This window comes from Homo sapiens, chromosome 22, assembly GCF_000001405.40.
Source record: "Homo sapiens chromosome 22, GRCh38.p14 Primary Assembly".
NCBI classification, from domain to species: Eukaryota; Metazoa; Chordata; class Mammalia; order Primates; family Hominidae; genus Homo; species Homo sapiens.
The window spans coordinates 19108661-19120426 of NC_000022.11; the positions used below are offsets into that span (position 1 = coordinate 19108661).

General features: G+C 46.9%; 1 protein-coding gene across 5 annotated transcripts in view, besides 4 other annotated features; it reads right to left on the reverse strand.

Annotated features, from left to right (window-relative positions):
• DGCR2 (DiGeorge syndrome critical region gene 2) overlaps positions 1-11766 on the reverse strand; it is an 86127-nt gene that overhangs the window by 72375 nt on the left and 1986 nt on the right. The gene's annotated exons all lie outside the window — the stretch shown is intronic.
• Positions 1053-1102: a silencer, noted in NCBI's record as "silent region_13452". NCBI's record gives its function as "represses an Ori minimal core promoter by ATAC-STARR-seq in GM12878 lymphoblastoid cells {active_cell/tissue: GM12878}" and the evidence as "EXISTENCE:reporter gene assay evidence [ECO:0000049][PMID:35858748]".
• Positions 1198-1700: an enhancer, noted in NCBI's record as "H3K4me1 hESC enhancer chr22:19097371-19097873 (GRCh37/hg19 assembly coordinates)". NCBI's record gives its function as "activates a minimal SCP1, AML or CMV promoter by ChIP-STARR-seq in naive H9 embryonic stem cells {active_cell/tissue: H9 hESC(naive)}" and the evidence as "EXISTENCE:reporter gene assay evidence [ECO:0000049][PMID:30033119]".
• Positions 1701-2202: an enhancer, noted in NCBI's record as "H3K4me1 hESC enhancer chr22:19097874-19098375 (GRCh37/hg19 assembly coordinates)". NCBI's record gives its function as "activates a minimal SCP1, AML or CMV promoter by ChIP-STARR-seq in naive H9 embryonic stem cells {active_cell/tissue: H9 hESC(naive)}" and the evidence as "EXISTENCE:reporter gene assay evidence [ECO:0000049][PMID:30033119]".
• Positions 5553-6447: an enhancer, noted in NCBI's record as "H3K27ac-H3K4me1 hESC enhancer chr22:19101726-19102620 (GRCh37/hg19 assembly coordinates)". NCBI's record gives its function as "activates a minimal SCP1, AML or CMV promoter by ChIP-STARR-seq in primed H9 embryonic stem cells {active_cell/tissue: H9 hESC(primed)}" and the evidence as "EXISTENCE:reporter gene assay evidence [ECO:0000049][PMID:30033119]".

Genomic DNA, 11766 nt, shown 5'->3' on the forward strand with positions numbered 1-11766 from the left:
AATGTAGTCAATGGATTCTGACAAAGGTACAAAGACAATTCAATGGAGAAGGTATAACCTTTCAACAAATGGTACTAGACAGTTGGACTCCACATATCAGAAAATGAACCTCACACTTTGGGAGGCGGAGGTGGGAGGATTGCTTGAGCCCAGGAGCTCAAGACCAGCCTGAGCAACAAAGTGAGATCTCATCTTTACAAAAAAAAAAAAAAATCAAAAAATTAGCTGGGTGTGGTGGCATGCATTTGTAGTGCCAACTACATGGGAGGCTGAGGCAGGAGGATCACTTGAACCCAGGAGGTCAAGGTTTCAGGGAGTTACGATTACACCACTGCACCTCAGCCTGGATGACAGAGCGAAACTGTCTCAAAAGGAAAAGAAAAAAAAAACCTCCTTAATCATCAGGGAAATGTAAGCCAAAACCACAATAGGCTATCACCTCACCCATTAGGATAGCCACTGTCAAAAACAAACAAACAAACAAGTGTTGGCAATGATGTGAAGAAATCAGAACTCATGTACATCGTTGGTAGGAATGTAAAATGGTACAGTCACTATGGAAGACAGCATGGAGTTTCCTTAAAAAATTAAAAATAGAATTACCATATGATCCAGCAATTCCAATTCCACTTCTGGGTACATACCCAAAATTAATTGAAGGCAAGGTCTCAAAGATATATTCATATACCTATGCTCACAGAAGTACTACTCACAATAACTAAGAGGTGGAAGCGACCCAGGTGTACACTAAATAAACAAAATGCAGTATATGCATACAGTGGAATACAACTCAGCCTTAAAAAGAAGTTCTGACACATGCTACAACATGGATGAACCTTGAGGTAAAATAAGCCAAACATAAAAAGACAAATACTGCATGATTCTACTTATATGGAGTATCTAAAGCAGTCAAACTCTTAGAAACAGGAAGTAGGACGGTGGTTGCCAGGCTGGAGAGAGAGATAAAAGGGAGGGGTAGTTACTCAATAGGTACTGAGTTTCAGTTTTGCAAGATGAAAACATTCTAGAGATCTGTTGCATAACAAGGTACATACTCTGGCACTACTGAACACTGAATGAACTGAACACTGAATTGAGTGGTTATGATGGCATATTTTACGTTATTAAAAAAAAACTGCGGTAGCAGTGGAGCCGCCTAACCCTGAAAAGCACATATAAAATACGGAGGGATTTAAAGTCCTAAGGATAATATTACAACTGAATGAAGTAACTCCTGCAAGAAAGCAAGACTAGAAATCTGACGCATCTAAAAGGAGACTGAGCCTACAGCCCAGCCATGGGCAGGCAGTTCTGCCCAGTTCCTCCCTTGTCTAACAGAGTGGGTCCAAACTTTAGTGTGATCACCACAGGGAGTTACACTCACAAAAAGCACATGTCCTATCATATGGGGTCTTTAAAGAACATTCAAAGGAAACATTTGCAGTCTGAAAGCTTCATTTCCTGCTCTTATTTCAAAACCTAAGTTGAACACAAGATTTAACACACGAAAAACTCTATCCAAAAAACGGGGTTACAGTTAAGGTTAATGGAGCTATTACATGCCAAGTGCTGATGAGGGTGCCTGATGCTCAGAAATGGGGATGGGGTGGCAGTGATAAGACAGCATCAGCTAAGAACCAAGGCAGGGACTGCAGGAACAGGCTGCGGGGAAGTGTCAGCTTCCTGGGGGCATTTGTGTGGACACAGCAGGGGTGGGCCCTGAGGAGTCAGGGCTGCGGCACCTGGAGCCTGCTGAAGCTATGGGAAGAAGACAAGAAAAGCAGGGTGGGTGGGAAGGTTCACATTGAAAAGGCGGGAGGAGAGCATTAGGACAAATACCTAATGCATGCGGGGCTTAAAACCTAGATGACAGGTTGTTAGGTGCAGCAAACCACCATGGCACATGTATGCCTATGTAACAAACCTGCATGTTCTGCACATGCATCCTGGAACTTAAAGTAAAATAAAATTAAATTAAAAAAAAAAAGAAAAGGCAGAAGGAGAAAGACAAGGAGTAGATGGAAAAAGAGCCAGAGACTTCTCTTGAAGCTGTGCAATATCACAGCATGAACTCTATGCTGCCCATGTTTCAAATACCCACTCCATGACTTTAAAAGCTGTGTGACTTTGGCTAAGTCACTTAGTCTCCCAAGCTCTGTTTCTCTATCTGTAAAATGAGGTTAATATGAGTAAACCTACTTCCTATAAAAAGACATCACATCTCATGCTGCAATTATAAAGCAGAAATATGCAACAGCATTAAGCTAAAATTTCATTTAACTTTTTTGTGGGTTCTAAGCATTTTAGATCTATTTTTTCTGTTAAGTAGTATGTTTTATATTCAGTTATACACATTTTTTTCCTTTTAAAATACCTTTTCCTCATCTTTTACTTTCATGAATGTTTGTTAAGAAGTAATACATCCACACGGTTGAAAACCCACAAAGTCCGTCCATACAAAAGAAGGTGACACTCTAATAAGCCTCCCAAGCTTCTGGAAACACACAGGTAGATTTGATTGCAATCACTGTGTGGTGAGATCACAGAGGGTGGTCACCAGCTGGCCTGAATTGATCACCCAAGCCCAAAGAGACATCACAGCATCAGTGTCCACACAAGATGCTGGTGCAGTCAGAACTGTGAACACTAGCGATGCCCAACTCAGTGAAAAGGTGCCCGGTTCTTAGGCAGGAGGCCCCAGGTGGTGGCGCTCCACTTAGCTCCCTCTGCCATACAGCTCTTTCATCAGCTTTTGGAATCATGGTGCAGGAGGCAAAGCATGTGGCTCAGGATAGCAGTCCTGAGTTTCCTGTTCTTGCTTCTACTTAAAAGCTAAGTGATGCCACCAAGCAAGCTAATTAACCTCTCTGGGTCTTAGCATCCTAATCTCCAAAACAGACCTACCACCTGCCTCACTGATCACCCCTCCACAATGAGTCTTGTCAGGTAAAGGGTGTGTAGAACTATACCCAAACTCCCAGGCCAACCTCAGCCCCTGCTTCAGACAGCTCCCCCATACCACTGCATACCCAAAGACTATCAGAGCACGAACCCAAGCTATCGGATGGAGAGGAAACACAAAGGGTGATGGCTGGTGGAATGAGACCCTGTTAAACCAACAAGCTCACAATGTCAGCACTTGGGCCCAAATAGCCCTTGAACATCTAAACTCTTTTTTGTTTTTATTTTTTATTTATTTATTTTTTTTTGTCTCCAGGAAGAAACTGAAACTTAAAAAGTGATTTACCAAGAGTTTTGACAAAAGTACATCAACGAAGGCTCAGGACTGTCAGAAATGAAAAATAATTATTTTTAAAATATCTATTTATTGGCTGAGCATGATGGCTCATGCCTATAATCCCAGCACTTTCAGAGATGCAGGCGGGTGGATCACCTGAGGTCAGGAGTTCAAGACCAGCCTGGCCATCATGGCGAAACCCCATCTCCACTAAAAATACAAAAATTATCTGGGCGTGGTGGCACGCACCTGTAGTCCCAGCTACTGGGGAGGCTGAGGCAGGAGAATCGCTTGAACCCGGGAGGCAGAGGTTACAGTGAGCCGAGGTCGCACCACTGCACTCCAGCCTAGGTGACACAGCAAGACTCCATCTTTTAAAAAAAAAAAAAAAAAACCTAGGAAAATAATAAAACCGTTCAAAATTGAGATGCTTCCTTACCAATTAGTGTAATGAAAGAGGGGCTTGTTATAAATACTGAGGTTACAGTAAATACCACTCTCAATATTATTTAATAAACATGGTTTCAAATCAAAACAGGTTTTTTTTTTGGTTTTGGTTTTTGAGGCAGGTCTTGCTCTGTTGCCTAGGCTGGAGTGCAGAGGCATGATCTCAGCTCACCATAACCTCTGCTCACTGGGCTCAAACGATCCTCCCACCTCAGTCCCCTCCAAGTAGCTGGGACTACAGGCGTGTGCCATCATGCCCAGCTAATTTTTGTAGTTTTTGCAGAGATGCCATATTGCCCAGGCTGGTTTAGAACTTCTGGGCTCAAGCAATCCACCCACCTCAGCCTCCCAAAGTGCTGGAATTTCAGGTGTGAACCACCCGGCCCTGCCTCAACACAGTTTTGAACCTAACTGTGTAACAATCACATGGAAGAGAGAAGAGAATTAATCCAAGTAGCTTTTGAACCCAAGAACCTTGAGTATACACCATCAATCTGAAAACACAAAGAGCTAAAAAAAATTAAATTAAATTAAATTCTACTTAATAGGTCTGCTGTTACTAGTGGTGCGAATGCAGTACTTCTGAAACTATTCTGGGTGCAGTGTAAGACTAAGCAAATGAGTAAACCTACTGATGCTGTTGGGAGCCAGGGTTCTCACTGTAGAAAAAGAGAGAAACAAACATGCAACAGAGAAAGCAAGCAAGAACCTGGAACGCTGGATTAGAACTAAAGAAACAGTATGGGCCAGGCACAGTGGCTCACGGCTGTAATACCAGCACTTTGGGAGGTGGAGGTAGGCAGATCATGAGGTCAAGAGATCGAGACCATCCTGGCCAACATGGTGAAACCCCATCTTTACTAAAAATACAAAAATTAGCCAGGTGTGGTGGCGCATGCCTGTAGTTCCAGCTACTTGGGAGGCTGAGGCAGAAGAATCGCTTGAACCCGGGAGGCGGAGGTTGCAGTGAGCCGAGATCACCCCACTGCACTCCAGCCTGGCAACAGAGCGAGACTCCGTCTCAAAAAAATAAAAATAAAAAAAAAAAAATAACAGTATGAACTTACACAGGCACAGACACATGCACGTATGCACACACCTCTTGGGCTAGACTGAAAAGATGGAGTCGCAGCATACTCTAGTAGCTAGCAATAAACACATCTACCACCAAAATCCTGCTTTCTAAATACCATCTCCCACCAAAAGGAACCAGCGCTCTGTGGGAAAATGCCCCATTCCAGTGTGGGGCAGGTAAGGTACAAGATGTGCCTGGTAAAAAGGAATTTCAAGTTGATGGAAACATGTCAGAAGGCGACACGCTCCCATCCTGAAAAGGCCAGGTGAAGGGGTTTCCACTTGCCAAGTCAACCTACTGTTATGTAGGTTTGAAATATTTCCAAAGTAAAAAGATTTCTAAAAAAGAATGAGTTAGGCCAGGCACAGTGGCTCATGCCTGTAATCTCAGCACTTTGGGAGGCCAAGGCAGACGGATCACCTGAGGTTGGGAGTTTGAGACCAGCCCAGCCAACATGGCAAAATCCCATCTCTACTAAAAATACAAAAATTAGCCGGGCATGGTGGCAGACGCCTGTCATCCCAGCTACTTGGGAGGTTGAGGCAGCATAATCACTTGAACCCAGGAAGTGGAGGTTGCAGTGAGCTGAGATTGCACCACTGCACTCCAGCCTGGGCAACAAAAGCAAGATTCCATTTGAGGAAAAAAAAAAAAAAAAAAAAAAAGAACGAGTTAAGACAATCTTGCCCCGACCCATTCCCACCTTTCCTCTCCATCTTTTGTTACCAAAGGAAAAAAAAAAAAAAGAATGAAGTTATATATGCACTGATCTACAAAGATCTCAAAATAAGTTAAATACAAAAATTAAATAAAAAATATAATTCCATTTATGTAAAATATTCTATGTATGAATGTTAGCAAATGTGAAGAAATATCAACTTTATTTTTTCTAGATTGTCCAGACAAGATCTTCTACACCCTTGGGCTCTCTCCATGCCCCATGGCTTACCATGCTGGTCTAGCAGGCATCCTTCGCAAATAGGGTAGATGGGGAAATCCGAAGAGCTGCTCCCACTGTCAGGAGTGGCCAAGAAACCTCCAAGAACTGCAGCAAAGGCCTGCCATGGCCCCCAACAAGCCTCTAACTCTTCCAGGTCCTCTTATTCTAAGACCATAGACAGAGTTCTGTAGGTAAACTAATCTACCTGGAGGCCCTAAGAAGCAGCCAGTGGCACCGGAGAGACCTCTGCATCAGCAGACCTAGTTTCAATGGAGCATCTGGCCCGGTCCTGTGGTCAGTCTCCTGCTGATCATCCCTGTGTTGACCTTCTGGGTCCCTCTGCTGTGACTCCTGCCCCTCATCCAGTGCCCTGGCCAGCCACAAACAATCCTCTCCACAACTATGAACTCCTAAGGAAGGTTTCCCAGAAAATGAGACTTCCCAGGCAAGGAAGAGGGCAGGGTCTACCTGGGGGACCCTTAGTCCACCATACCCACCAGAATACTGTCCTCAGTACTGTCCTGTCCAACAGTAGCAGCCAACAGCTGAAGGATGACAGACTAACCAAGGAAGACAAGCTAACCAAACTGATAGCTGTCTGCCATTTTGCCAGAGGTCAGCCAGAAGTCAGCCTACAGGGAGGGACCTGTAGGGGACAAGGGCACTAAGAACAATGACCAGCTCAGAGTGACTGAAGCAACAGCTACCGCAGGCAGAGGAGGAGGAGAAGGCCAAGAGGCAAGCATGTGCAGCCCATGCAGCCCATGCACCCAGCCAGCTCTTGACCAGAAACAAGCCCTGCACTGTGCAAACAACCCAGGGAAGGTCCAGCCACATCCTCACACAGGGCAGTCCAGTTCTCAAAGCCAGGTGCCAGCAAGTCCATCAGAGAGGCAGCTCCCTCAGCACCGGCTTGCTGGGGTCCCTCCCTCTGGGAGCCCCTCAACCCTCCACCCCAGGCTGGGCAGCTGGTGAGCTTCAGTGAGGATCCACATTAATGAGAAGCCACACTTGCTCTCACCTCTCAGCTCAGCTCCCATCACAGAAGCAAGCTCCTACCAGGGTGGGGCCCAGGCCAGCTGGCTCCACAGCCATGTCCCCTACCCCCGGATCCCATCCTCCCAAGGCATTTTTGCAGGACTGCCACAAGGCTCTCATCCTCCTCGCCACCCCCACCAGAGGCAGCTGCAAGGCCTGCTGGCTAAAGTAGCTGTTGCTCTTTATGTCAAAATATAAATAGGCATTTGTGCATTTGTTCAATAACTGATTTCTGAGTGCCCAGTCTGTGCCTGACCAGGCCCAGGTGACAGAGCATGAATGTGACAAAGAGCAAAACGTGTATGAACAATCCCAGCCCTGTCCAAAGCACCATGGCTGTTTCGGGGGCTCTCAGCAAGTCATACGCAGTCCCTCTGATCCCATCATAACAGCAAAGAGCACTCTCTGTGTGGCAGACACTCCTCAGAGCCACTGTACTCTGCCACCTCCTGAGGGAGCTCTCTCCCGACCAATAAGCCCTGTGCACAAACCACCTCACATTTCACATTTCAGTTCAGGGTTCCTGAACTCTATCTGTGATTAACACTAACATTTTGCCTGATGAAGAGTTTGCTTTATGTCAGACACTTTTTAGAATTTTATACTTACCCATTTTAATCCTCACAACATCTCTATAAAGCTCTGTTACGATGTCCATGTTCCAAATGAGGAAACTGAAGAGTGAGCAGTAGAACAGATTGAGCCTAGGCAGTGTGGCTCTAGAGCCCATGCTCTTAAGCCACCATACCCAACTGCCTGCCATGGGCCAGGATGAGAAGGCTTGATCTAATCCCAGCTGCTACTTTTACAGACAGCTCATTTGAGGCAAAACCAGACCTGAGCTTCCCCATCTCCCAGGAGGATGCCCAGAAGGTCCAGGGCATCTGGGTCCACAGGCTATTCACCCTCCAACCTAGACTTGCCCTGCCAAGCCCGCCATGTCCACACTGACAGGACACACAGCTTGGAATGGCAGGATGAGATGGACTGGCTTTGACTAAACTTCCCAGGACAACTGGTAAATCATGTCAGAAACACAAATACAGGTGTTACACAGCTATCACATAATAACCATACCCAAGCCCATGCATCACTCTGCTCAATGAACTGTTGGCCCAAAACTGGTCTCTCGGGATTACCGAGCCCACTCTGCAGACTGGCAGTGAAAGAAAGGAAAGAGGACGGTCATCAAAACCTCAGCACCCAAACATAACAGCACATAAGAGAAAATCTAATAGCATACCAAGGAAAAGACATCTAATCAGTCAAGAGCTATCTACGGGGTCCTTAAATGTTGTCACTGATGCATTCCACTTAGAGTCAAGAAACTACTAAATGCCAATCGGGTCGTCCTTATGCCAACAACCAAGAGAGGCAGAGGAACTCCCTGCCTGTCAAAGGCTCAGGTCCAGCAGGAGAGAGTCAATAACTAGATCACCTGCCATCAGTGTTGAGAGGATGCATGCACTACTAGATCACCTGTCATCACTGCTGAGAGGACATGCACACAACCGGATCACCTGCCACTACTGCTAAGAGGAAACATGCATAATGAGATCACCTCCCATCACCTCCCATCACTGCTAAGAGGACACCTGCACAACCAGATCACCTCCCACCATGGCTAAGAGGACACGTGCACAGCTAGATCACCTGCCCTTACTGCTAAGAGGACACACACAGATCACTCACCTCCCATTACTGCTAAGAGGATCTGTGCGTAACAAGATTACCTGCCGTCACTGCTAGAAGGACACCTGCACAAACAAATCACCGGCCACCGCTGCTAAGAGGATATAATCACTCAGTACTCTGGGAAGTGGGAAGGAAGGGGTGGGGAAAGTGCCCACAAGCTAGCTTGGGAAGTGGAGCAGCGAAGGCGCAGCCTAACACAGCACAAATCTTCCACAACAGCAGTCTTCATTCCTAAACCCAGAACCGCCAACTAAAACAATAACCCTGACATGCAGTGATGCCAGCTTGCCTCCACCTGGGCCAACCTGGGCTTTAACTACAGGGCTTCCTGCACCCATGAGACCTTCCCACGTGACACAGGGCTTGGCACATAGCAGGTGTTAGTGAGAACGATGGGGTGGGGTTAAGTGGGAGCAGCCTCTACTCTCTGCAATGGTTAACATGTACAAGGATAAACGGCCATGGCGCATACAACTTATTCTCAAATGGTTCAGAAAAAAGCAATGTGTGTGAGTACACAGATATGCACATACACATGGAAGATGAGGGATAAGGCAAATAAGGTAAAATGCCAACAGTAGGGAAGCCTCAGCAAAGGATATGCAGGTGTTCTCTGCACTCACTTTACTCTTGCAACTTTTCCGGGAGTTTGAAATTATTTCCAAATAAAAGTTTTCTTTTTGTCAAGAAAAAAAAGGAAAATTCATTAGCTAGTGAAGGTAGAAAGTATATTACATCACTTTCCAACTAAAAAAAATGAACCTGTTAACCCAAAAGCCAAATCTACCAGTGGACAAACTCTACAAAGTGTCACAGTACTGGCTACAGAGGAAAGCACTCCAAACTCAGGAGGATTTGGCAAGGCTAGGTGCAAGCTCACCTCTCCAGCTACTTCTGAACCTCGGTCACTTTTCCTTGTGATGAAAATATGCACTCTCTCCCTATGCACCAAACCCCTGTGCTACTTCACATGAAAGAAAACTCTGGACTCCAGCCGGGGAGAGGTGGCTCACACCTGCAATCCCGTAACTTTGGGAGGCCAAAGCAGGTGGATCACTTGAGCCCAGGAGTTTGAGACCAGCCTACATGGCCAACATGGTGAAACCCCGTCTCTACTAAAAATACAAAATTATCCCAGCATGGTGGCGTGCGCCGTAATCAAAGTTACTCTGGAGGCTGACACAGGAGAATTACTTGAACCCAGGAGGTGGAGGTTACAGTGAGCTGAGATCCCGCAACTGCACTCCAGCCTGGGTGACAGACAGAAACTCCATCGCAAACAAAAAAAAAAAAAAAAAAAAAAAACAACTCTGGACTCCAGAGCCAAGGTGCTGTGTTCACTTCTCAGCTCCCTGAGATGTGATCAGCTCAGCACAGCTGCCTACTGAAAGCAAAAGAGAAAGAACCCTGAGCTAGCAGCCAGCTCCACCTGGGTCTGAACCCACGCTCTGCTGCTCACCAGCTGTGTGACCTTAGACAAGTCACTTGCCTCTCCCAGCTAGCTGTACCAACAATAGAAGGAAGACGACCTTCTAGTCCTCTACCTTACCAAGGGGCCTAGCTGAGCACAGGCCCTGTACAGGACCAACAACCAGCAGGAAGGGACCAGGGTGCACCAGCATTCAGAAGGCAATTTTTTCTCAGCTATGTATGGTGGGTTCAACCTGGATAGAGCTGTGGCTCATGATATAATTTTGTTTCACAATTAAAGCTAGAAAGAAAAACAGTTTTAGAATCAGCAGTCGATGCTGCCTTCTCTACACAGATGGAGAAAGGGCCAATGAGACAGTATCACAATCAGTGGTCCCCAAATCCCCCCACCATCTCGCTGTCAGTTACCTCAGCAGTAGTCTCCAACCGTTCTTCCTCATCACACCCCCAGTGATCATAACACACATCATCAGTGGTCACATGGCCAAACACAGAAGGGATTTGGCAGAGGGTGAGTGGTTCTGTCCCTCAGACTGGAGTATCCACATGGAAAAAGATTCTGCACCCTCACCTAGAGGACCCTGGGACCTAACAGGGGACAGAGGCAGTCTGTGGCTCCACCTGGGGTTAAGGAAGCTGTTCAGAGCATAATATGAGGTACTCCTGTGGCTGGGCTGGAGACACACAGTTGGAGTGCACAGACCCCAGTCACGGGTGCATGATGGGGGGAAGGCCAGACTCCTACGATGAAATCTCATCTCAGCCTTAGCTTCATGAGTGCTCTGGATTTCAGCTTCCCCATCTTTAAATGAGGCTAAAAACAGCATCTAGCAGGGACCTCTTGAGAGTTAACATATGTTAGTGCTTAGAACAGTGTCCGGCACATGACACATCTTAAATCAAGTTCAAATGTGCACTTAAAAAAAAATTGCTGGGCATGGTACCTCAGGCCTGTAATTCCAGCACTTTGGGAGGCCAAGGCAGGTGGCTCACCAGAGGTCAGGAGTTCCAGACCAGCCCGGCCAACATGGCAAAACCCCATCTCTACTAAAAATACAAAAATTAGCCGAGCGTGGAGGCGTATGCCTGTAATCCCAGCTACTCGGGAGGCTGAGGCAGGAGAATCGCTTGAACCAAGGAGGTGGAGGTTGCAGTGGGCCAAGATCACGCTACTGCACTCCAGCCTGAGCAACAGAGCAGGACTCTGTCTCAAAAAAAAAAAAAAAAAAAAAATTGGTGAAAGGTCAAGTACAGCAAGCACTTGCTGCCCCATAACTCCATGAAAGGCCTTCCACCCTGCCCTGTACCAGAGAGGAAGCCCAGGTGGCTTGGCATCATCTTCAGGGACCCCACCAGGCAGGAGTCAGAAAACACCCTCCTGAGAAGTGGGCTCTGACTGATACCTTCCTCATACTCAAGTATGCTTTTAAGGCCGGAATCCCCACAGAAAGAACGCAGACTAAGACCAGAGAAGCCCCAGCCTCTTGCAAGCACCAGCCAGGCAGATCCCTGCAGCACTCTCAGGAAGGACACATGGTGAATGTGTGAAGAGGCACACACGGGCATACAAGGAACACATCAGGCCCAGAGGCCTGCCCTCCCTGCCCAGCCAAAGCCAGGAAGCCAGCTGCAGCTCCCGGGTTCTGCAGGGCAACTCAAGACGCCTCCAGGGGTAGCTGCAATGTTCTCATCTGGAGAGTCATGGAATCGAAAGAATAAGTTTGCTCCCTCTACCAGATCCACCCCACCCATGCCCTACTCCGACCTCAGTGTGAGGTCTCCTGTGACGCCCTCACTGCTTCACAGGTACAAAAAGATGGCCACCTCCACCCACCTCTGGGACCCCACACTCCAGGGTATTCAACACACAGGAGTGTGACAAGTGACTTACACCTGGCCTCT